At 38.4% G+C, this 27,070-nt stretch overlaps 1 protein-coding gene across 23 annotated transcripts in view; it reads right to left on the minus strand.

The window, feature by feature from the left end:
- PSD3 (pleckstrin and Sec7 domain containing 3) overlaps nucleotides 1-27,070 on the minus strand; it is a 557,503-nt gene that overhangs the window by 105,309 nt on the left and 425,124 nt on the right. For 22 of the 23 annotated variants that reach the window (NM_001412865.1, NM_001412866.1, NM_001412872.1 and 19 more), the window contains 2 exons: nucleotides 23,031-23,074; nucleotides 2-195 (listed from right to left, as the gene is read on the minus strand). In NM_001412865.1, coding sequence (NP_001399794.1) covers nucleotides 2-195; nucleotides 23,031-23,074 — 238 coding nt within the window. The remainder of the gene's footprint in view (nucleotide 1; nucleotides 196-23,030; nucleotides 23,075-27,070) is intronic. The other variant, NM_001412896.1, reaches the window with a different exon arrangement.

The raw sequence follows: 27,070 nt of genomic DNA on the forward strand, positions 1-27,070 counted from the left end.
CTCTTCTTTCCATCCATATCTGCATGAATTTTCCGAGCCAAGAATCCACTTTTGTACACAGCAGCATTTGGATCATGAGGAATGTCCAAAAATGGGTTAGTAGTACTTCCAATACGACTGATGGTCTTTGGATGTGTTCCGTTAGCTTTCTCCTCAGTACTTTCTGAGGGAGACTTTTTTTTCTCTTCATCATCTCTAAAAGGGAGAAAGCACAAAGACTGAGTCAAGCACCTATCATAATATTCAAAGAAAAAGGTAAGTTATTGTAAAAAACTACATTGTATTCCAATGGTGTATCACTTTTTATAACCACCACCATGATAATGACAGACACCATTTGTTAAATGTATTCTGTGTGCCAGGTGTTAATGATCATGGCAATATCTTATAAGACTGATATTAATATCCTCTATTACAGATAAGGAAATAGACTCAGTGAGTTTAAATGTACAAGGCCACAGATTTAGTGATGAACAGATAATGAAGATATGATCATAAAATCCCTAAAGTCATTGGTCTTTTCACCGTTTACAATGCTTTCATGTTTGTCTTCTTTCAAACAAGTGGGAGTTTATTGGCAGGAATTATGATTTTGACTTACGTATTTCTACAGGGTCTAGCATAGAACTAGGTGTACAGAAAACAGCAAAAGTGTTAGAGTCAGTCCAATGGACAATAGTAAACAATATCCCCCAAATAACCAGGCTAGTCCCTAATATTAAAACCCCAGGCAAAGCTACTATGGATTAGAATGGGGATGCCAGGCACAGTGCTTTGGCATGTGACAGCTGCTACTTTCTCAACCGCCATAAAAATAGTCCCCAACATCTATTGTTCCCATCTTTATGTCCATGTGTACCCAATGTTTAGCTTCCACTTTTAAGTGAAAATGTGTAGTATTTGGTTTTCTGTTCCTGTATTAATTCGCTTAGAATAATGGCCTTCAGCTGCATCCATGCCGCTGCAAAGGACATGATTTCAACCTTTTTCTATGGTTGCATAGTATTCCACGGTGTGTATGTACCATATTTTCTCTATCCAGTTCACCATTGAAGGGCATCTAGGTTAATTCCATGATTTTGCTACTGTGAATAGGGCTGCAATAAACCTATGAGTGCATGTGTCTTTTTGGTGGAATGATTTGTTTTCCTTTAGGTATATAACCAGTAACAGGATTGCTGATTTGAATGGTAGTTCTTTTTTATGTACTCTAACAAAGTACTTAAAAACTGCTTTCCACAGTAGCTGAACTAACTTACATTCCCACCAATGATGTATAAGTGTTCCCTTTTCTCTGCAGCCCCACTGGCATCTGTTAATTTTTTTGCCTTTTTAATAACAGCCATTCTGACTGGTGTCAGATGGTATCTCATTGTGGTTTTGATTTGCATTTCTCTGATGATTAGTGACGCCGAGTATTTTTTCATGTTTGTTGGCCATTTGTATATCTTCTTTTGAGAACAGTCTGCTCATGTCCTTTGCCCACTTTTTTAGTAAGGTTATTTAGTTTTTTGCTTGTTGAATTGTTTAGGTTCCTTATAGAAGCTGGATATTAGCCAGATTAACAGTTTGCAAATAACCACAATATATTTTAAATATATCACAAAACCAGAAGTGTTTGATAATGACGGTAATCAGAGAAAAACAGCCTTTTTTTTCTCTTTTGGTATTTTATCAGTAATTGTGAGATAAGTGAAAACAAAACTGGACTCTTAGAAGAAATGGATATTTTACTTTTATTTTGAAAGAATTTTAGATTTGTGAAGGACAGGATTCCCCTATGCCCAGCTTCTCCTAATATTAACATCTTATATATTAATAACTATCGTAAAAAATTTCAAAACTAAAAAATTAACGTAAGTTTAATACAATGAATTAAACTCGGCTTCATTTGGATTTCACTAGTTTACCATTTTTTTCTATTCTAGGATCCTATCCATGATCCCACAGTGCATTCTGTTGTCATGTCTCTTTAGCGTCTTCCAGTCTGTAACAGTTCCTCAGTCTCTCCCTGTCCTTTATGACCTTGACACTTTGAACAGTATTGGTCAGTTATCTTGTAGAATATCCTCAGTTTAGGTTTTTCTGATGTTTTCTCATGACTGGATAGACGTTATGCATTTTTTGGGGAAAGATTCCATATAGGTGATGCATCTTTCTCAGTGCTTTAGGTCCAGGGGATACAAGTTTTATTACTTGTTAGAATTAACCATGATCACTTGGTTAAGGCAGTGTCCCACAGGTTCCTCTACAGTAAAGTTACTATTTAACTTTGTAAGTGTTTTTGGGGAGATATCTTGTAACTATGCAAATATTGTGATTCTCCTTTACCCACTAACTTTATCTTGTAACAATTATTATTACGGTGTTTTAAAGGTTCCCTCATTTATTCTACATTCATTAATTGAAATTCTTCTGTAAGTATGGACACATGGATATTTGTTTTATTCTTTAGGTTATAATCAAATACTATTGTTATTTAATTTGTTGCTTAAATTTTTGCAGCTTTGGCCATTGGGAGTTATAATAAGGTGTGCTCCTATGTCCTGTGAACATGCCTCATCTTCTAAAGGACTTCTTTACTTTCAGGTACCACAGAACGCCAAGCTCATCTTAAATTTTCCTTGTCCTGGCCCTGAAATCAACCACTTCTCCAAGGAGCCTTGGTTCTTCTTACTGGAGAACAGTATTTAGAAATCAAATCTCGGGGCTAGGTGTGCTCATTGCTTTGGGGTCCTCCCAATAGACAAAGCTAGGGAGATACAGTTATGTATCATATAACAATGTGTGGTCAACGATGGACAGCATACAATATACAACCATTGTCTTGTAAAATTATAATGCAGCCAAAAAAAATCCCATTGTCTAACACTTACCATACTATGCTTTTCAGTGTTAGAGTATCCTACTTCTATTTATTAAAAAAAAAGTTAACTGTAAAACAGCCTCAGGCAGGTCTTTCAGTAGGTGTTCCAAAAGAAGGCTTTGCACTATTTACAACACCAAAGACTTGGAACCAACCCAAATGCCCACCAATGATAGACTGGATAAAGAAAATGTGGCACATATACACTATGGAATACTATGGAGTCATAAAAAAGAATGAATTCATGTCCTTTGCAGGGACATGGATGAAGCTGGAAACCATCATTCTCAGCAAACTAACACACGAATAGAAAACCAAACACCACATGTTCTCACTCATAAGTGAAAGTTGAACAATGAGAACATTTGGACACAAGGAGGGGAACATCATACACTGGGGCCTGTTGGGGGTGGGGTGGAGGGCAAGGGGAGGGAGGAGAGCATTAGGAAAAACACCTAATGCACGTGGGGCTTAAAACCTAGATAATGGTTTGATAGGTGCAGCAAACCACTGTGGCACATGTATACCTATGTAACAAACCTGCAGGTTCTGCACATGTATCCCAGAACTTAAAGTAAAATAAAATAAAAAAGGCTTTGTTATCATAGGAGATGACAGCTTCATGCACGCCCCTGAAGACCTTCCAGTGGGACAATACATGAGGCGAAAGACAGTGATATTGATGATCCTGACCCTTGTGTGGCCCTAAGCCAGCGTGTGTATTTGTGTTCTAATTATTTTTATTATTTAAACTCTTAGGCTATAAAGTCCCATGTGTTCTAATTTTTAACAATTTTTTTAACAAAAAAGTTTTTAAAAGTAAAAAAGGCAAAATTTCAAAAATAGGAAAACACTTATAAAATAAGGATATAATGTTTTTGTACAGCTGTATAATGTGTTTTAAGCTGTTATTACCAAAAAGTTAAAAAGCTAAAATAACGAGTTTATGAAGTAAAAAAGTTACAGTATGCTGATGTTAATTTATAATTGAAGAAAAGGTTTTTAAAAAGAAATTTCCTGTAGCCTAAGTGTACAGTGTTTAGAAAGTCTACAGTACTGTGTAGTAATGTCGTAGGCTTTCAAATCCATTCAACACTCACTCAGTCACTGACCCACCCAGAGCAACTTCCAGTTCTGCAAACTCCATTCATGGTAAAGTGCCCTAAACAGGAATACCATTTACAAAAAATCTTTAATGCCATATTTGTTGCTGTTCATTTTTTGATTACTGTTTGTTTTCTGTTTAGATATACAAATACCATTGTGTTACTACTGCCTATAGTATTTGGCACAGTAACGAGCTATACAGGATTATAGCCTAGGAGCAATAGGCTATACCATATAGTACACATGATGTTCACACAGTGATGAATTCGCCTGATGACACAGTTCTCAGAACATATTACAGTTATGAAGTGATGTATGACTGTATATATAAGTACACTCACGTGTATACACACATCTATATTTGTGTATCCATCCAACCATCCCAATTAATTTATATTAACACCACCAAACCTAAGCCAGCACATTCCAGCCTTCTCCCACTTGCTTATCTGTACATCTTCAATAGTGAGAAAACTGGCTTTCACGATCTGCAATATATTGATTTGTTCAATCTCAGTAAACATATAAAAGAGTTCCAAAATTGCTAGCCTACACCCATGTGAGGAACAAATTTATGTACTAGAGTACAGTGTTTGTGTACATTTCTTTTGTCTTACACTGTTTTCCAAAGTTATGGGTGAGCTCTTTTTTTCTCACTCTCATCACAATGGTTAGGTGAAAAACACATTCCTTCGTTATAGTCTGAATTCTACTTTGTGTTTATCATATCCTGACTGATTTTCTTAAAAAATAAGCATTTTTGAAAATGCATTTCTTGTGATGTTCAGATTTAAGGATTTAGATAATGTATAGAGTCATGTACCCACTACAATGCCAAATGGAACAGTCTTATCACCCCCCAAATTCCCTCACACTGTTATTTGGCCAACTCCTCTCTCCCATCGATTCCTGGCAACTGACTTCCATCCCTATAGTTCTGCCTTTTCCAGAATGGCATATAAAATGGTTTCTTGCATTTGGCAAAATGCATTTAAGATTCATCCATATTGTAATGTGAATCGATAGTTTGTTCCCTACCATTGTAAAGTACCATTTCATTTTATGGTCGTGCCAGTTTGTTTATCTATTCATCTACCGAAAGATACTGAGTTGTTTCTAGTTTCTATATTTTATTTTTACAATGAAAAACTATTTGTATCTACAACCAATACCATAATAAAAATATAAAAATACAGTACTGCCAGTCTCTCATAGATCAGAATCAATCTGGAAGAAAGATTTCTGTCCTTCAAATTGATTATTCTATTATCATCATTAAGATTCAGTACTGGGCCCAGCATGGTGGCTCATGCCTGTAATCCCAGCACATTGGGAGGCCGAGGCAGGTAGATCACAAGGTCAGGAGTTCAAGACCAGTCTGGCCAAAATGGTAAAACCCCATCTCTACTAAAAATACAAATATTAGCCCACTGCAGTGGCAGGTGCCTGTAATCCCAGCTACTTGGGAGGCTGAAGCAGAGAACTGCTTGAACCTGGCAAGTGGAGGTTGCAGTGAGCTAAGATCACGCCACTGCACTCCAGCCTGGGCGACAGAGCGAGATTCCATCTCAAAAAAAAAAAAAAAAAAAAGATTCAGTACTGTTACAGCCCACAGCTAACATCATACTCAACAGTCAAAGGTGGAATGTTTTTCCTCTAAGACCATGAACAAGACAAGAATGCCCACTCTCACCACTTTTGTTCAACACAGTTTTGGGAGTTTTAGGCTGAGCAATTAGGCAAGAAAAAAAAAAAAGGAAGTGACTGTCTCTGATGCTGACATAATCTTATATATAGAAAAACCGTAAAAACTACCCCTCCCTGACAACTGTTAGAACTGCTAAAGTCAGTAAAGTTTTAGATTAAAAAACCAACACACAAAAAATGAGTAGCATTTTTGTACACTAACTACTCAAAGAATTAAGAAAACAATCCCACTTCCAAAAGCATTAAAAACAAACAAACAAAAAAAAACAAGTAGGAATAAATTTAAGCAAGGAGGTGAAGATCTGTGTACTGAAAACCGTAAAACATTGAAAAATTCACAAATCAATGGAGAAAAAAATCCCATGTTAATGAACTGGAAGAATTAATATTGTTAAAATATACCTAGTAACCAAATTCCAATGTCATTTTTTATAGGGATAGAAAAAATACTAAAATTTGTAGGAAACTAGAAACTACTCCAAACAGCCAAAGCAATCTTCAGCAAAAAATCAAAGCTGGAGGCATAGTTTTTTGACTGTAAAATATAAAGTTACTGTAATCAAAACAGCATGATACTGGTATAAAAACAGAAAGCCCAGAAAAAAATCCCAAGTAGCTAAGGTCAACTGGATTTCTGGAAAAGGTTTCAAGAATATATAATGGGGGAAACTACAGAATCAGGTGCCATGGCATTGACCACTGCCCTTCCGTGGCTTGTGCCAGTCTGAAATCCAAACTATGACACCATCCCCTCTTCGATCCCTACTTTAGGCAAAATAGAAACCAGTCACATGGGCAGCCTACAGACAGGCCAGAATATTGTTATCAAGTCCCACTCTCTTCCTTGCATCCCAAGAGAGGGAGTAAGTAATTGGGCTGCTTCCTAAGGACTATGCTATACCATGCTGTGGAGGGAGTCGGGTAAGGGCAAATAACATTGCTTTGAAGTTTTCTACTGTTTTAAATGTGGCTTTTTTTTTTAATTGAGAGTTTGCCTGGTTGCTGTACATCTTTGGTTTTCAGAGCACATGTGAAGTTCTTTCAGATGGTCTTACTTGCTTATGGAATGTTTCCCTAAGAAAACAAGGGCCTGGAGCTTCCTAGTCCACCATTGTGCCCCATTTCCCTTTTATTGCTCTAGTCTTAGTGTTATGGGTTTAATTCAGTCCCCACAAGAGAAATTAAAGTACTAACTTCCAGCATTTAGGAATATGACCTTGTTTGGAAATAAGATGATTAAAGAGTGGGCCCTAATCTAACAATATTGATGTCCTTATTAAAGAAAGAAATCTGGACACAGACACACACATACAGAAGGAAGACCCTGAAGCTACCACAGGCTAGGAGAGAGGCATGGAGGAGACTCCCGGTCATGGCCTTCAGGAGGAAACAACCCTATTTTCACCTTGATCTCAGTGATCAAGAACCATGAGACAATAAATCTGGGTTTTTAAAGCCCATTTGTGGCATTTTGTTATGGCAGCCAAAGGAAATGGATATACTTAGATGCTACCTCACCACAGCTTCAGATTAATTTTATCACTTTTGCAGATGGGAGTGTGCCCTAGAGAAGAAAAACTGGGACAACTGTGTCTCAGTACTTGCTCTTCCATAAACTTCACTGTGATCCTGAATAAGCTGCAGCATCTCTCTAGATCTCAGCCTCCTCATATGTAAAATTTGAAGCTTGCTCTAAGTCAGTAAATACAAGCCATGCAAAGCCTGTCCAGGGAGTGGGAGCCCAGGATGAGTAGAAAGGTCTCTGGAATCCCCATTCACTTTCAAAAAACAGCTCTTGGAAGCAGACTGTGGTCGTGAATCCATTCTAGTTCTAGTATTTCATGATTGTAGAACTCCGTTGATATAGACCAATACAAAACCACAACAAAAGATCAGGATATTCCATGTGTCTCCACAGCATTGACCCTAAATGGAAACCTATGCTGCTAAGTGTAGGCTAAATACTGCAAAAAGCCTCTCCCCTAAGATATGGAGCAGGTACCCCAAGTTTTACCATGCAAACCCTCCACAACAACAAAACTGCATACATTGTTAAGTGATACGGTTTGGCTGTGTCCCCACCCAAATTTCATCTTGAATTGTAGTTCCTGTAATCCCCATGTGTCATGGGAGGGACCAGTGGGAGGTAACTGAATCATGGGAGCAGTTTCCCCCAGGCTACTCGTGTGATATTAAGTTCTCGTGAGATCTGATGGTTTTATAAGGCCCTTCACCTTCACTTGGCTCTCATTCTTCTCCTTCCTGCCACCATGTGAAGAAGGACGTGTTTCCTTCCCCTTCTGCCATAACTGTAAGTTTCCTGAGGCCTTCCCACCTCTGCGGAACTGTGAGTCAATTAAACCTCTTTCCTTTATAAATTACCCAGTCTTGGGCAGTTCTTTATAGCAGCATGAGAATGGACTAATACATCAGTAAGACTGGAGGGAAGATGGCAGAAGAAAGCCCTGTTCTTTCCTCTCTATTTAGGAAGCAGAACTAATTAGCCCCACTGACCTACCTTTGAGTGTCTCAAAAGAGAAACTCGACACTTGCCCCCACTACTTCTTTGGCATCAGGTAAACCGCTCTATCCCTTTTGCCTTACTATGTGGCAAACCCAGTGGGGCAGAGCTCACCTCTGCTCCTTTAGTTCTGATTTCACAGCCTGTAATATGGTTAGGCTGGGGAGCTCAGCAGGCTTGGTGGCCACTCAGGTCCCAGTCACATTCTCCAGTATAACTTTCTGCAGGTGCCTTGCACTCTGCATTACACAGCAGAGGCTTGACTTCATTTCACTCAGCTCTCTGCTCTGTGTATACACTCCTCTAGCCAGAACATTACAGAAGGGTAGGGGTTATAAATCAGGTCCCAAAGTCCACCTTGTACTGGCAATCATTACCATGATCCCTGTAATTTAATTTCCTCACCTTACAACCAGCCTAGAAGCTAGATGTTACCAAGTCCCTGCTCTCCTCCAGGAAGCAATGCTTGGGAACTGGTATCCCTGGGCATCAGGGCCAGCTGAGTAGTGATGGGAAGGAGCTCTAAGTTGCCAGGCAGTGTGTGCTAGGCAGTCCTGATATCATGATGATTAAGACCCCTCGAGGGGTTCATCATCCAGTAGGGGAAACAGATACACAAAATATTGGCTAAAACATTTTTTATAAAATACTATATGTCTCCACAGAGCTGTGTACAAAGCAGTACAGGATCAGAGAGGAGGGAAGAGTCTGTATCAAACATGCTAAATTATAATGCAAGAAATCCTTGTTGGGTGATGGAAATGGGGTGATAAACTACGGTGGTTGTTACACAAGTGTGCAAAGTTACAAACATTGGTGTAGCATAAAATTGGTACACTTAAGTGGGTGAATTTTATGGCATAAAAATTACACCTCAATAAAGCAGTTTAAAAAATAAAGGTGGTGGTTGAATGCAGGGGCAGAACACTAAGGTGGCTCACATCTCAATACTGTGATCAGATGATTGCAGGAAAATAAAGCGAAGAATGAACTTATAAAAAATGTGCTGAGTTATCATGGGGTTTCTATTATACCACATCACATTATACCACGAGGCAGGATGAGTCTAAAATGGATCTTTGTCACTTACCAAAAATAAAAAAGAAAGCATGTAGTTAAATTTTAAAATTCTGCTGAAAATATGAATTGCATTCTATTCTCTAAAAATACCTTATTTTGACACAGGAATCCTAAAAGTAAAAAAGAGACTATGCTTTATTAAAAATGTTAGGCTTCATCACTAGCCTTTTAATACCAAGAAAAATGCTGCCAGATATGAGAAAGATGTAGGCTAGTAACTTGGCTTTCTAAATAAAGGATCTGACCATATGTACAATGACTGTAGTATGCTTTCCAAACCAAGACAAACTTAACCAATGGTTAAAAAAGTTTCTGAAAATACACTGGGGTCAAGCCACATGTTAGGTATTCCCAAAAGATCTATTGGAAAATTTTTAAGGGGCAACTAAAAATAACTTCCTTGAGTATTCTTGATCTGGCTAAATTTTCTCACCTTTAAAAAATATACATATATGTATAAATTATAATGTACGAGTACATAAATGCTCAATGAAACAACTACTGTCTAAAATGCTCCTCATATACACATTAAAAATCATTCAGAAACTATATTTATTATATATCATCTTGTATCATTCCTCATCAAACATCAAGCACTTAGCAATTGATATAGAGGATATAAGATTCTCTATCCTTAGCATACTAAGAAAAATGCTTTCTTTACATCCCAGCCTCCATAATTCTTTGCTCCTCAGTGATTCTAAAAATGCTTTAGGACAAGTAGGCTACTAACATAATCACATTCCATCTGCTCACCAACCTGTCTGCTCTGAATATTCTGAAGATAATGTGAAATGAAGATAACAATATTTGTAAAGTACATAACTTTCATCATATTTAGAAATATTTAAGCTTTTCACAATAAAACCCTTAAAATTTCTAAGTATCCATCTCAATCTCATTATCAAGAGAAATGCCACTTAGACATGAAGCAAACAATGTATTGTCATTTTTTAAAAAAATTTGGCCTTTTAAAGCTAAGAACTGGGTGGCAAATCTTTCCAGTTTCCTATACACCTGAGTTCAGCTGAGAAAACAAGTACTTAAATCTTAAGTGTGAGCTCAGATTAAGTATGAGATATGCTTTAGGTTCTTGATAAAATTACATTTCACAGAGCCATATGAGAGAGCTGTCCTAGTCCATTTTGTGTTGCTAAAACAGAATTCCACTGGCTGAGGAGTTTATCACGAATGGTGACTTATTTCTTACAGTTCTGGAGACTGGGAAGTCCAAAGTCAAGGGTCCTGAATCTGATGAGGGACTCCCTTGCTACATCATCCCATTGTGGAAGGTGCAAGGGCAAGAAAGTGTGAGAGAGGAAGAGGGCTGTGAACTTGGTTTTATAAGAAACCCACTCCTGCAGTAACAACCTTAATCCACTCATAGCCCTCATGACCTAAGCACCTCTTATGAAGCCTTGCCTAATGGTTGGGGGACATATTCAAACCATAGTATTCTGTCTGTGGCCTCTGAAATACATTCATTTCATCACAGTGACCCCAGTTTTAACTCTTTCTAGCACCAACTCAGAAGTCCGAAGTCCAAACTCTGACCTAAATCAGATACAGGTCAATTTGAGGCATGATTCATCCTTAGGCAAATTTCCCACCAGCTGTGGGCCTGTGAAATCAAACAAGTTATCTACTTCAAATACTATGGTGAGACAGACATAGATGCTCCCATTCCAAAAGGGAGAAATAGGCAAGAAAAAAGAATGAACAAAACCCAACTCCAAAACCAAATAGGGAAAACAACATTAAGACTTAAAGCTGGAGAATAGTTTCCTTTGATGTCCCAAATCCTGAAAACACTGGAATTGGGGTTGGGCCCCCAAGGCCTCAGGCAGCCCCAATCCTATGACTTCACTGGGCTTAGACGACCCAGCAGCTGTCATGGAATATCCCACATCTTTTGAAATCTAGGTAAAGAAAGCCATGCCTCTACAGCTCTTACATTCTGTGTGCCTGCAGAATTAGCACCACATGGATGCTGCTAAGGTTTATGGCTTGTATTTCCTAGAACAGTGGGCTAAGCTGTAGCTAGGCCGGCTTACACCACGGCTGGGGTAGCCAAGGAATGCTGTGCCAGAATGTGGGGAGCAGAGAACTGAGGGGGCTCTGGTGGAGAGCACCCTGGGCCCATCCCTTGAAACCATTCTGCCCTCCTACACCTCTGGGACTGTGATGGAATGGGCAGCCTCAAAGATCTCTGAAATGTTTTCAGGGGTCATTCTCCCATTGTCTTGATCTCTTGTATCCATAACAATATCTTTGCAAATGGTTGCTTGGCCACAACTGTGGTTTGCTTTCCCAAGCATGCTTTATCATTCTTTGTAAGGCCAGGCTGAACATTTTCAAAATCTTTCTTCTGCTTCTCCTTTAATTATCGTTCTATCTTTAAGTCATTCCTCTCATATCTTACTGTATGTGGTTAAAAGTAGCTACTTAGCTCCATCAACATTTTGCTTTGAAATTTATTGCACCAGATATCTTAGCTCCTTGCTCATAAATTCTGCCTTCCCTAAAGCCCTTGGACAAGAATACAATTCAGCCAAGTTCTCTGTGACTTTATTACAAGGACAGTCTTTACTCCAGTTTCAAATACCTTGTTCTTCATTTCTACCTGAGACCTCATCAAAATGGACTTTACTATGCATGTTTCTACTAACATTCTAATTATGATCACTTAAGTAATGTCTAAGAAGTCCCAGATGGTCCTTAAATTTCTTGTCTTCTCCTGAGCCCTCACCCAACTGCCCACAATGCTCCGTTTGCAGCAGTCTAGGCTTTTTCTAGCATTCACTTCATAACTGTCCCAGCTTCTGTGGATTACCCAATTCCAAGGCCCCTTCCACATTTTCAGCTTATTGTTATAGCAACAGCCCTAATTCTCGGTACCAATCTTCTGTCGTAGTCTGTTTTGGGTTGCTGTGAAAGAATTCCACAAACTGCATAATTTAAAATGAACAGAGATTTATTTCTTACAGTATTGGAGGCTGGAAGTTCAAAGTCAAGTAAGGGGCCTGCATCTGATGAGGGCCTCCTTGCTGGGGTCTTCTCTAACCCCCACCTGCTCTCTTGTGCTTTGCTGCCCTTCTCCTAGTAAGGCAGAAGGTCAAGAAAGCGCAAGAGAGCGAGTTGGGGATCACAGTTGCTTTTAAAACAAAACTACTCTCACGATAACTAACCCACTCCCTTGATAACATTAATCCATTAATTAGGGCAGAGCCCTTTTCCCTTATGACCTAACAGTCTCTAATTAGGTGTTACCTCCTAACACTGCATTGGGGATTAAGTTTCTAGCACATGAACTCTGGGGACATGCTGACACCATAGCAAGAGTCTTCCTTAATTCTAACCACTGAAAATCTTTTTCCTTTAAATACCAAAATCCAGAAGATTAATTCATGTTCAATATCATTTTTAGCTAACAATTTTTTAATTTAAAAATACTTTACTGTAGAAAACTCTAATAATCAATAGCTAACAAAATTAAGTGGTCTCAACTCTTTAGTTCAATATTTCCTTCAAGTTAATGGTCAATTTTTCATAACTATGGCATTTCTGTTTCTTTTCTTACAGTCAGGGTGTCTTTGCTGAATATAAATAGAACAATCAAACCAATAATATCCTTTACATAACCACTATACATATATAGATTTAACCTTAGTTATTCTTCGTATAGATTGTCTTGTAAGTTTGTTATGCTAGTACTAACATTAGCATTATTATTTTACCAAGAGTCCAGCGTGACACAGTATCTGCCATGTTAGGAATTTGAGTACAGTGAAACAGAGAGCAATGACAATGAGAACACTAAATCTCATTCTAGAATTTCAATGAGGTGTAATGAGTATCTAGAAAAGTCATTTAATTGTATGAGCACCTCAAGTGGAGAACTGAGTTTTATTCCTTCTGTTTCTCCCAACAATAAATGAATGCATTATTCCTTCTTTGTAGTCAAATATCTCGTGCAAATAATTTTATCAGTTTTTCCATGGTGAGTTGTCTCTACCTATGACCCTAAATGCCAAGCTCCCTACCTCTCTCTGCACACACTCAAATTAAATTTTTGGTTATATATTTAAAATATATGTTTTATCTATACCATTGTCCAGCTTAATATTTTACCAAGAGTCCAGTATGATGTAGTTTCTGCTGGTTAGGAATGTGAGTATAGTCCCATAGACAGCAATGACACTGAGAATGTTATTCTAGTATTTCAAGAGGCACAATAGCAACTTCTTCTTGCCTTAGTTTTCTTGTTAGTAATGATTGCCAACCTACAGATGGCTACATTGAAGTTTAAAATGAAAATTACTTTCATTTTAAAGTTCCCTCATAAATGTCTTCATCCCAAATAACTTTTTCGAGCAAGAAAGTTTTCCTTCATTAATCTACATCTACTATTAAGAAACACTACTCTGATTAACAATTTTATATATCTATATTCACTAGGGATTAAGGATATACAGTTATTTAATGTAGTAAGTCATTGCAAAAAAAGGAAATTACCATGAGTTGCCTTTTTGAAAGAAAACCAAATAATTTTATGTCAAGGTAAAAAATATTTTAACTAAAATTAGGAAGAACTCTTTTCATTAGGATGTAAGTTCAATTCTAAAAAGTACACACAAGGGATTCCAACTTTTCTTCATGGCTGATTCTAATGTTGGCAAATAAACAAAATGAAGCACTACAACAAAAAAAATGAAAAACTTAAATGAAAGGCGACAAATTATATTAAAAAGTGTAAGGTGGTACAACTAAATCAGTCTAAACTAATAGAAAAACTCTTGGGTGAAAAGAAAACTATTCGTCCTTATGAGATTACCAACTCTCACAGAGAAACAACTGAGATTACATTTTAATTAATATGTATTAATACCTAAAATGAAATGAGAATCAATGCTGAGTTAAGTAAAATATGATAAGGGAACCAAATAATGAAAGTAAAAGAGCCCTAGAAGGCTTCTTTACTCGGAAAAAGAGTTTTCTTAAGAGTTCACAAAACAAAGAGACTTTGGAACTAGTTACCAATTTCATATTTAGGCCATTGGGTTGAATGAACAATCAAGGTACCCACATAAAAAACAGGTAATAGTAATCCCATTGCCTCTATCATCCCCCAAGAATACACACAGAGATGTACATGCACACACTCACACCTTCATGGGCAGTGTTAAACATAATGGCAAAGAAGTGGGAGGAAATCTTTGCAAAATTTTCTCTACTTCCTAATTTCAGCAAATCAGCCAACAAAGAGGCAGCACTGATTTCCTGAAAAGACCAGTCATGACTTAAATTTGCAACAAGGAAATGAAAAGCCAAACTACAAACTGTTGGTATTTAAAACCACACTTTCTAAAGCTCAGGGCTATCATAACACATGACTGGAAGGACAGAAAGATATCAATGTGCTACCACCTCACCTAATTAGCCAGAACAATTTAATATGTGAGGGCAGATGGGAAATAGTTTAACTTATTAGCAAATACAGCAAATGTTTTAAACTGTTATTGTTATAAAATGAGTTGTAGGGCAATATGAAATTGCAGGAAAGATTATTCCACGATGCAAAGTTGTAAAATGCTTATCCAGAGTTAAAAAGAACAAATGTGCTAAATGACAAAGCAAGGCCAATGCTGCTGTAACTAAAACATGGAGGGTGCACAAGTGCAGAGGGAATCCAGAAGTTCATTATTTAAAACTGTTTTTTTTTTTTTTTTGGCTGACTTTATTAAAATGAGCCAATACATGATTTTTTTTTTTTTTTAAACTAGGATAAGGGAGTGATTTGGTTTGGATCTGTGTCCCCGCTCAAATTTCATGCTGGATTGTAATCCCAAATGTTGAATGTGGGGCCTGGTGAGAGGTGACTCGATCATAATGGCATTACCCCCTTTAGTACTGTTCTCATGATAGTGAGTGAGTGAGTTAAGTCATCATGAGATCTGGTTGTTTAAAGGTGTGGGGCACCTGCCCCCTCTCTCTCTTCCTCTTGCTCCGGCCATGTGAAGTGCCAGCTCCCCCTTCACTTTCTGCTGTGATTTAAAGTTTCCCGAGGCCTCCCCAGAAGCTGAGCAGATGCCAGCACCACGCTTCCTGTGTAGCCTGCAGAACCATCAGCCAATTAAACTTCTTTTTATATAAATTACCCAGTCTCAGGTATCCTTTATGGCAGTGCCAGAATAAACGAATTCAGAAAAATGGGTCCCAAGAAGTGGGGAATTGCTATAAAAAATACCTGAAAATGTAGCAGCAACTTTGGGAACTGGGTAATGGGCAGAGGTTGGAAGAGTGTGGATGGCTCAGAAGATGACAGGAAGATGAGGGAAAGTTTGAGACTTCCTAGAGGCTTCTTAAATTGTTGTGACCAAAATGCTGATAGTGATACGGACAATAAAGTCCAGGCTGTGGAGGTATCAGATGGCAATGAGGAACTTATTGGGAACTAAAGCAAAGGTTATGTTTGTTATGCGGAAGCAAAGAACTTGGAGGCACTGTGCCCCTGCCCTAGGGATCTGTGGAATTTTGAACTTGAGAGTGATGATTTAGGGTATCTGGCAGAAGAAATTTCTAAGCAGCAAAGCATTAAAGAAGTAACCTGGCTGCTTCTAACAACCTATGCTTATATGTGCGAGCAAATAAATGACATAAAACTGGAACTTATATCTAAAAGTTTGGAAAATTTGCAGCCTGGCCATGTGAAAATTTGCAGCAGGCTGAAGAAATTTGCTTTACTAAAAGGCAGGCAAGTGCTGATAGCAAGAAAATGGGGAAAATGCCTCAAAGGCATTTCAGAGACCTTTGCAGCAGCCCCTCCTATCACAGGCCTGGAGGCTTAGGAGAGAAGAATGGTTTCATAGGCCAGTCCCCGGGAAGTTTCACTGCCCTATACTGCTCCCTGCATCCCAGCCACTCTAGCTACAGCTGTGGCTAAAAGGGCCAAGGTACAGCTCAAGCTGTCACTCCAGAGAGTGTAAGCCATAAGCCTTGGTGGCTTCCACATGGCGTTAAGCCTATGGGTATGCAGAATGCAAGAGTTAAGGCTTCGGAGCCTTTGCCTAGATGTCAGAGAATGTATGGAAAAGCCTGGATATCCAGGCAGACATCTGCGGCAGGGGTGGAACCCTCTTGGAGAACCTTTACTAGGGGAGTGCAGAAGAGAAATGTGGGGTTGGTGCCCCAACAAAGAGTCCCCAATGGGTCACTGCTTAGTGGAGCTGTGAGAAGAGGGCTACCATCCTCCAAACCCCAGAATGGTAGAGCCCCCAGCAGTTTGCACCCTGCACCTGGAAAAGCCATAGGCACTCAACGCCAGCCCATGAGAGCAACCGCAGGGACTGAACTCTGGAAAAGCCACAGGGGCAGAGCTGCCCAAGGCCTTGGGAGCCCACTCCTCACACCAGTGTGCCCTGAATATAAGAAATGGAGTCAAAGCAGGTTATTATTGGAGCTTTAAGATTTAATGACTGTCCTGCCGGGGTTTCGGACTTGCACAGTGCCTGTAGCCCCTTTCTTTTGGCTGCTTTCTTCCTTTTGGAATAGGAGTATTTAGCCAATGCCTGTACCCCCATTGTATCTTGGGAGCAACTAATTTGTTTTTAATTTTACAGGCTCATAGGCACAAGGGACTAGGCTTGTCTCAGATAAGAGTGAGTTAAGGCTGAAATGAGTTAAGACTTTGAGGGACTGTTGGGAAGGCATGACTGTATTTTGCAATGTGAGAAGGACATGAGATTTTAGAGGCGCCAGGGATGGAATGATATGGTTTGGATCTGTGCTCCCACACAAATCTAATGTTGAATTGTAATCCCCACTGTTGGAGGTGGGATCTGGCGGTAAGTGATTGGATCATGGGGGAAGATTTCCCCCTTTGGTGCTGTTCTCATGGTAGTGAGTAAGTTATTGTGAGATCTGGTTGTTTAAAAGTGTGGCACTTCCACCCCACCCTGCTCTGGCCATGTGAAGTGCTGACTCCCTCTTTGCCTCCTGTCATGACTGAAAGTTTCCTGAGGCTTCCCCAGAAGCTGAGCAGATGCTAGCATCATACTTCCTGTACGGCCTGAAGACTGTGAGCCAATTAAACCTCTTTTGTTTACAAATTACCCAGTCTTAAGTATTGCTTTGTAGCAGTGCAAGAACAGACTAAAACAGGGAGATTTCTTACAATTTGTAAACACTGTTGTAGAAAGCAGCAATAAACATGAAAGTCAAAGGATGAAAGAGAGGAACATTAATTTTCCTAATAGACAATACTGAACTTATTTTATTTTCCTATTTGTGTTAATCGTTGTATTTTCTGAAGATCCTCATGCAGATACATTTTAAACAATTCCAACATAAGATATAAACTCCCATATCCACCTCAACTCACCTCATCCTACGCCATCCCAATCACAAAGAGTAATTACTCACTTTGTTTATCACTTAGACTGGAAATTTTTTAAAGCCAAGAAAAATGCCTCAATGCCTTATATAGTTTTGTTCTCCCCAAATTATCAGCAGGCTGCATGATGCAAGTAGGTCAACAAATAGATGCTTCACTAATAATGAACAATTGAGCAAAGGAACTTGGAAAGGCAAATGGTCATGGTCCTATATGACGTAGCAGAGACCTTCCACAAGTCAATTTGACTCACTGCACTCTTCATTACAGTTTTTGTATTTTTATCTTTGTACAGTCCTCCCTCTCCCCTAAATCTCATGTTGTGTTCTCATTAGGCAAGGATCTGTGTCTTATTCATATTTGTATCTAGGGCACAGCACTGGGCCAGGCACAGGAGAAGCTGGATAGAGATTGCAGAATAGATGAATAAATAAATGATCCTTGCTACTAACTTAAGGAAAAACTCTAGTAATTCTATGAGCATTTAATGAGACTAGCAAATTAATACAACATTCTCTTAATGTGCACTGTATCAAAGGCTAGCACAGAAACATTCAGACTCACTCTCTGCTCTTCAAAGACTTTATAAGACGGGGTGGCTACAGAGATGCCAGGCAGCATGGTGGTGCCATAGGAGGCCATAACAGCTGGGGAAAATCCTGGCCTTCCCACCATACTGGACTTGGACCTATTGATGAACACTTCTTGACTTAATTTTCCTCATATATAAAGTAACAACAATGGACTACGTAAGTACCTTTCAAAAAATTTTTCAAGAACATATACCTTAAAAATATGAAATAGAACCCTATACATATATTCAAAAGAGATAAAAGTGGAGCTGTTTTGATCAGCTGAACTAGGCATAATACTTAAGGAAGCAGAACTGGGTCCCCAACAATTTTCAGTCACACTCCCAGGTAAGGCCCCAAGGCATCTCCCTGTAACCCAAGGTTACACTGAACCCAGTCAGAAAACCAATGATATAAAAACCTATAAGGTTTATAACAGTTATAACATTCTCCGGTTCTAACACTCAATAATTCTATCGTGATTTCCTCTAAGGTTCTAACATCCACATCAAGATGCCTCCTGCGCAAGTCTTCCATGCATTATCCTACAAACTTTGTAGCATCACCACCTTTCCTGTAACTATTTTCTAAACTACACATTGTAGGCTTATCTTTTAAGAAATGTGGTTCCTTCATTACCATTAACATCCTTTCTATAGCCTTTTATGGAGCCTTCATTACATATAAACACTATGATCAGCAACAGAGGAGATAAAGGGACAAATCCAGACATGTATCATTTCCTTAAAGAGCTTACAATCTAATGGCACATTACTACAAATAACCATAATGGGGTGTAGAAACTGCTGGTGTCATCAGATAAAGTAAAATGGAAGCTTAAGGCTGAGATCATACTTCTGGTTAGCAAGATCAGAAAAAACTTCAAGAAAACAGATGGAATAGGAGCTGGACTGTGAAGGATGATAGGCTTTGAACATAAAATGATTATGGGATACAGGTTCCTAGCAGAGGTGACTTCACGAACACTGAATGGAGAACAAAATCAATTATTGGCAGAACGTGAAGGGCCTAATTAAAGTTTTACAGCACATAGGAACTTCACAGAGGTTAAAGTACAGGGAAGATTGGAGACAGAAGGCCTTGTTGAGGAGGCAAACACTATAAATGCCTGAAAAACAAAAGAATGGCAGGAGTGAAGAGGAAAGATGCTGTTTGGAGCCATTTCTGCAGGGGTTCGAAGTGGTGGTGTGGGAGGGTGTCAAAGATGATGTAAAGGCTAAAATCCAGGTAAGCCGGAAACGCTGGTGTCATTAATAGAAATGGAGCACACACGACAAGTTTGGAGACAGACGATGAGCGCTAAGTGCCAGCAGAAACATCCTGCAGGAAAATGCAAACACTGAATTGAAACTTGGGAAAGAGGTCAGAGCTGTATATATATATAGGAAGAATTTTTACAGAAATGGCAGAAGAAGTTTTAAGAGTGAATTGCAATTGCTGAGGAGGAGACTACATTGGAAGAAGACAATTCAAAGTGTCCATCTAACGCTAAGGGATAATATGAGGAAAATGGGTCAGAGAAAGTCTAGTTAGAGAGGTATGGGAGAAACGGGAGAGCACAGTGTTATAAATAATTATATCCATGTACATACACTTTTATCAAGGAAAAAGCTTAGTTTTTTTTTTTTTTTTTTTTTTGAGACCAAGTCTCACTCTGTCACCCAGGCTGGGGTATAGTGGCACAATCTCAGCTCACTGCAACCTCTGTTTCTTGGGTTCAAGCAATTCTCCCGCCTCAGCCTCCTGAGTAGCTGGGATTACAAGTGCACGCCACCACGCCCAGCTAATTTTTGTATTTTTAGTAGAGATGAGGTTTCACCATGTTGGCCAGGCTGGTCTCGAACTCCTGACCTCAAGTGATCCAGGCTCCTCAGCCTCCCAAAGTGTTGGGATTACAGGTGTCAGCGACCGTGCCCAGCTGCTTAGCTCCTTTGCTAAAGGATCACATACACTGATAGATGTCAGTGTTCTCAGAAGTGTGTTCTAAATAAAAAGCACCAGTTTTAGTAGATGTTAAAAGGTGCTTTAAGACAAAAATAAGATTCAGTGATTTAATAAATTGGGGTATTGGCCATTTATTTCCTACAGAAATTCAAGATGTACATCAGGTTTTTAAATTCAAATTTCTCCTGCAGAAATTCAAGATGTACGTTGATTGAACAGGATGATAACAGAGAGATCTGTTTAATTTTGTTTGAGCTAGCATTCATTCCAAGACTTAGTTGACCCATAATCCCTTTGTTTTATATCTGCTTGATAGAGCAGTACTTCTTCCACAGGAGGAAACACTGAAATATGGCAAAACTCAGAAATTTACAGAATATTAGAACTAGAAAAAATACTTGTGATCATTTCATCCAATTCCTTCATTTTATAGGTGAAGATAGAAATTATACGATAACCACTATAGTGTCTTCTTCTAATTCTTGACAATGTATAAAAATGTAGTCTATGTATATGCATATGAACAAGAGAGAAAAAGAAAAAAAGACAAAAAAAAAAAGAAATTGGAGCTTTGAAAGCTACAGCATCAGGCATCAATTGAAGAGCAACTTGCTTTATGTTCAGTGTTTTCAAACATTTCAGTGTCATCCTGAAGGTTACATGAGACTCAATATTTGCTCAGTCTTGCAAAAGAGGAAACTGAGGACTACAGGTTAACTTGGTCAGTGAACCAGCTACTACATGAAAAAGCTGTAATTCACACCAAAATTTATCTGACTCTGAAATCCAGGCTTCTGAACAAGATGCTCTGCTAACTTCACAAGAAGAAACCAGTTACTGGGTAAACTCCCGCCCCTCCACCCTTGGGTAACACGCAAGATATAGCTTTCTTGCATCAAACTCCGACTACCTATAAATGAATAAATAAAATCTGCTGTAACAAATTAAAAAAAAAAACCTAGATTTACAAAACAGGTCCTCAAGAGTATATGTATTTGTTTTTTAAAATAACTTCATAAAAGAATCTTCAATGTATTCTCTTGCCCAGAGTGAATATGATGATGCCATTTTTATTTATTTTCTCTAGACTACATATTCTGCATATGTCAGGATGTCCTTTTTGCATTTCAGCAAGATTCTGACTATATCCTTCACAAAATTTTCCTATGAAACCCACTTTTGTTCATGAGAAATAAGCCTAAAGAAGAATGATCACCTTTGATAGCAGACCATGAATTCTTAATGATCAGTTTTCCTTGAAATGGCACGCTGCCTTTAAATGAGTCTCATCATGAATATACATACAGACACATAAGCCATATATATATATATGCAAATATTAAAGTCTTAACTTTTGACTCCCTAACTTGCAATAGGACCATGACTCTACAGTGAGTAGACGCAATTCAAGTGGTGCTGATACTTCAAAAATAAATTCCTGCACATTATATGTAATACACAGTCAACTATTAACCCATGTTCCTCCAACGTGCAGATAACATAACAAGTTTTATCTCCCAAGTTATGATTCTGTAAACCCGAGTTCATTGTAGAATGCTCTGTTAGGTCACGTGGTAAAACAATACTTATGAATACTTAGTAAAAATAAAAAATAAAATCCACGAAGTTCTAATTACAAAGAACACATTTTGACCTAATTTCCTGGTAATGTGATTAAAAATTTCATATTCTTCCATAATAATTTTATAAAAATTAAAATTTTGAACTGCTATATTGATTAGGGAAATTTTAACAACAGTGGTATTGTTCTACGTAGACCTAGGTGTAGCTCATCTTTAATAGTATTTCTCAAAGTATGTACCCTGAAACACTATATGTCACTGTCAAAGAGAGTCAGGAAACATTACACATTCTATTCCTCTCTTGGGGACTGATAACACACATTGGCATTGGATAAGCTCCTAGAAGTTCTGAAGTTTAAATAAAATAGCTTTATTCAATCCATCATCTCCCAAGCTTATTCCATTCAGAGAACCTTTTTTTGGTTGCTGTTGTTGTTTTGTGCTTAGTATCTATCAGTGTCCTAGTATGATTAGTATCATAGGAAATAAACCTGGAAAGCCATGATCTATGATGATAGGAAGGAGATAATTAAAATAAGTGGATGATACCAAAACCATTTGTATTACATTTTGCAATACACACTATTCATCAGCAGATTTTTCTTTTAGAATGTTACTTTTTAAAAGATAAATTTAAGGCCGGGCGTGGTCGCTCACTCCTGTAATCCCAGAACTTTGGGAGGCCGAGGCAGGTGGATCACGAGGTCAGGAGATCGAGACCATCCTGGCTAACACTGTGAAACCCCGTCTCTACTAAAAATGCAAAAAAAAAAAATTAGCTGGGAGTGGTGGTGGGCGCCTGTAGTCCCAGCTACTCGGGAGGCTGAGGCAGGAGAATGGCGTGAACCCGGGAGGCGGAGCTTGCAGTGAGCCGAGATTGCGCCACTGCACTCCAGCCTGGGCGACAAAGCCAGACTCCACCTCAAAAAAAAAAAAAAAAAAATTAAAAGACAATTAATTACCTACAGGTACAGCAACCATTTTAAAAGCAGAATAGGAACACACTGAGTACCAAAAAACCACAGGATACTCTGGGTTTACTTGTATAAAACCGAAATAGGTTTTACTTGTATCTGGGTTTACTTGTATAAAGCCACAAAGTAGGTAAGACACTTGGTGTAAAATGAGAATTGGCAATGCATATTTAATCCTTCTCTAAGATCACTTCCAAGGCATAAAGACAGTAGGAAAAAAGTGAGTAGTTCATTATTAAAAGGCTGACGTCCAGCACACTTACACTGCCCATTCAAGCTTCTCATTCTTGATTGAGTTGTACAGAGCCTGTAAAGAGAGAAAATGAGATCACATTATTCTTTCCATTCTGTTCCACATTTTGAATTCAGCAAATGACCAAGTAATTCCTTCATAAAAGGATAGGCACGAAGCCCCCCTTGTCAGTCACCTTGCTTTTAGAAAGGTGAAGAATACATGGGGAGGCAAATGAGCATTGGGTGAACAACGAACGTTTCATGAAACAAAGAAACTTTCACAAAGTTATAACTGTCTTTTATCAATAAGGCACAGTACTGTACTACATTTCATTATAGTAAAATATTAGGATGTGATTAAAATTACACTGTGCATGCTATTTCTCATATTGAAAATATGGTCTTGTAGTTTCACTCAGTTGGACAGTGGAGTACTCATACTTTTTTCTTTTCTTCTTTTTTTCAGACGGAGTCTCACTCCATTGCCCAGGCTGGAGTGCAACGGCACAATCTTGGCTCACTGCAACCTCTGCCTCCTGGGTTCAAGTGATTCTCTTGCTTCAGCCTCCCGAGTAGCTGGGATTACAGGCGTGTGCCACCACACCTGGCTAATTTTTGTATTTTTAGTAGAGACGGGGTTTCACCATGTTGGCCAGACTGGTCTTGAACTCCTGATCTCAGGTGATCCACCTGCCTCAGCCTCCCAAAGTGCTGGGATTAGAGGCATGAGCCACTGTGTCTGGCTGCTTTTTTTTTTTCGTTAATGAAAGAAATAGAATTGTTTTCATGGCAAATTAAAGAGTAAGATACTTGGTAGGGGGACTGAAGCCAGACATGGAAAAGCATCTTAGGATAGTTTTAGAGTTTCGATACCACTGACTTAATCCAGTTTTTATTATAAATGTAACATCCCAATTCTGCCTTACAGTTAAGTATTACATTTTGGGTGTGTGTGGTTGTGGCAGATTGGATAAAAAACTTCTTTAGACCCTTGGTAACAATAATGGTAAAGTCAGCACAAGACTGCTACCCTGATTCTCCCAGCTCTAGCATTACAAAGGTCCTTGTAGTCAGCTTGTTCCACTATACCAACTACCGAGAAACATTTTTTTAAGACACAGGGTCTTGCTGTGTTTCCCAGGCTGCAGTGCAGCGACTATTCATGACCATGATAATAGTGCACAACAGCCTCAAACTCCAGGGCTCAAGTGATTCTCCTGCCTCAGCTTCCTGAACAGCTGGGACTACAGGCATATGCCACAGTGTCTGGCTTTACCTTTGAATTTTAAGTAAGATGTTATAAGGAACACACAAATGCATTTCTAAGGTACAAAACCACAAGAGCAAATTATATTTAACAAAAGAACGGTATGCATAACAATATTATGATGATGTTGGAACATTTTTCCTCAAAGAATGACTTGGATCAATTAGAACTTGAAGGCTTAGCCAAGACTTCATTTACTCTGAGATAGAAAAAAGGGGGATCACATGTCATCTAACCTCTTGTCTTTCAAACAAGAAAAGGCAGGTTCAGAAAGTTGTCCAAGCAGCACAGCAGAGCAGAACTGCCTTGTATTTCTATCCTTTCGCCCTTAACATTGTCTCATTCAAGTGTTTACATGTGTGTAAGCAAACAATGCACACCAATAGTAAATTCACTTTTCAGCAAAATACTTCCAAATTCAGTACAAATTTATTTAAGTTGTAGAATTTATATTATTTACGACTCAATACGTGTATTCTTAGCCAGTATCTTGACAAACTTCATGAAAGTTCTCAATTGTGGCTTCATAGTCAATTCAACTATTGAAATATTACAGTAGCTAATAAAAACCAGGTCACATTTTATATTTTTCAGGACATGATAGGTATTCTCAAACACAAAAGGGATAGAACGTACAATTAAAATACGGAGTATACTGAGGCACAAAGACTATGCTATAAATTGCATATTTGTTTTGAAGAACTCAGGATTACTGAAGAGATCCAATCTATGATATAGTTAATGTATCAGGAGGCTGAACACCTATGGAAGTGCAGAGAGAGTTGAAAACTGGCTCAAGTCTCAGGAGGGCTTTCGTTGGATAAACGCCTTTTAAATGAATTATATTACTTGCATGAGCCATTTTGAACCCACAAGTAACAGTGGGCTGAGAAACTACAAATGAAAAGAGACAGATCATTAAAGGTTCTTTAGATGCTACTATCATACTCAATATTACCCAGAGTAATTCAAAATGTGGCAAAGATTTTTAAAAAATCTGTTCATAAAGGTAGAAAGTTTAAATGACCGCTAAACAGCTAAAATTTTTCTAATACATTCATTTCTGTTCTAGCACAAATTTTTTCAAATACTTTTTCCCTCAAGAATATTTTGTTCAAAGAGAAGTAGAATTGTAAATTTAAAAATTCTTGCTATTCAATCAGCCAGATATCTCATGAAGATAATCTATTATAAATCATCTTGCCGAATTCCACAGACTTGCAGTATTGCAGGTCAAGTCCTCTCACTGTGTAAACAACATAGAATAGAATTTTTTTTGTAGCATGCCGAATCCAGACAGTGGGTGTCATCCCTATTCTTTTCAATTGCAAAATTGCAAAGAATTTTCCTTGTTCTTTGTAGTGCTTTATCACAATTATTATTTTTCTTAATAAAAGGAAGACGCTTTACAAATGCATCCAAAACTTAAATACACTCTCAACACAACTTCCCATCTTTTTATCTACTCAGCCTAGTTAAGAAATGAATTCCCTTGATTCTTCTTTATCTCTAACCTGGCAGTCATTACTTCCTTTCCCGTGTAGCCTAGACGTCATAGTCTCTCACCTCCACCAGTCTAGTTAGTATCTTCGATTTCTTTGTTCTGCTGTTGTACATGAAAATATTAATAGATACTATATAATTCTTTTTTTTTTTTTTTTGAGACAGGGTCTTGCTTGGTCACCCGGGCTGGAGTACAGTGGTGCAGTCATAGCTCACTGCAGCCTCAAAATCCTGGGCTCAAGGGATCCTCTTGCCTTAGCCTTCTAAGTAGCTGTGGTTACACCTATATAACTCTTGATCAATCCTACTCTGATTTCTCCGTATGAAAATCCTACAGATTAGTTAAGATTTCTTTTACTTTCAAATGTCAAATACCTAAACACTACCTTAAGGGTAAGGAGGCCTAATAATTAATGTAGTCAGATCATAAAAAGTATGCTCTAGTAGCCTCAGGGATCCAGGAATTTCTCTCTCATCTCAATTCGCCTCTTTCTACCCCAACCATCTGCAGTCCTTGTTTCTCCACTACACAAGAAACACATCCAAAACAAGCAACACCTTTTCACAGCTTGTCTCTCTCAATAGTAACAACAACAAACTAGTTATTTCTCCCAGCTCCAGTATGAAAGTTCCCAGTAGAGGTTCAGTTCACCTATCCTTCCCATGGACAGATCTGCGTGGCTAGGAGAAAGTTCTATGACTCGGCCCATCTCTGAAGCCAAGGGGACTAGGGGGTTGTGGGGAGGTGGGTATTAATGAAGGGCAGCACTGACCTAGCCACTAATAATCCTCCTGAACTTCGCAGCCTCCCCTATTTGTATGTGACTAATTCAGCACTACTAGAGAAAATTAAACAATAGAACAAATTAATGCCATTGAATATTCATCAACTCAAACTTCAGCAGGGTCTTCATTCATGAGCCTCTCGCCATCTCCTCTAAAATGCATCTGCACTAGCACCTATTTCTCCTTTCTGATGGTAAGGGAAGAACCAACAAAATGGGATTTCAGAACTGAACTCAGAGATCATGAAACAAAGGTTTCCTTATACGGATGAGGAAATGAAATCCCATGTTAATTAACTTCTCTCCACATTCCATAACTTGTTTTTCACAAACACTGACTCAAGTAAATAACACTTCATGTTTACATCAACTAAGTACATTGTCTCCTCCTAAGACCAAACCTTATAGCATCGTATATGCCTGGCCAAAGTCAGAGCCCATTTGAAAAGATAATAAGACTTGTGCCTCTCTTAGAATATATTCAAATAATCTGGTAATGTTCTATTCTTAAAAG

Source organism: Homo sapiens, chromosome 8 (assembly GCF_000001405.40).
Source record: "Homo sapiens chromosome 8, GRCh38.p14 Primary Assembly".
Taxonomy (NCBI): Eukaryota; Metazoa; Chordata; class Mammalia; order Primates; family Hominidae; genus Homo; species Homo sapiens.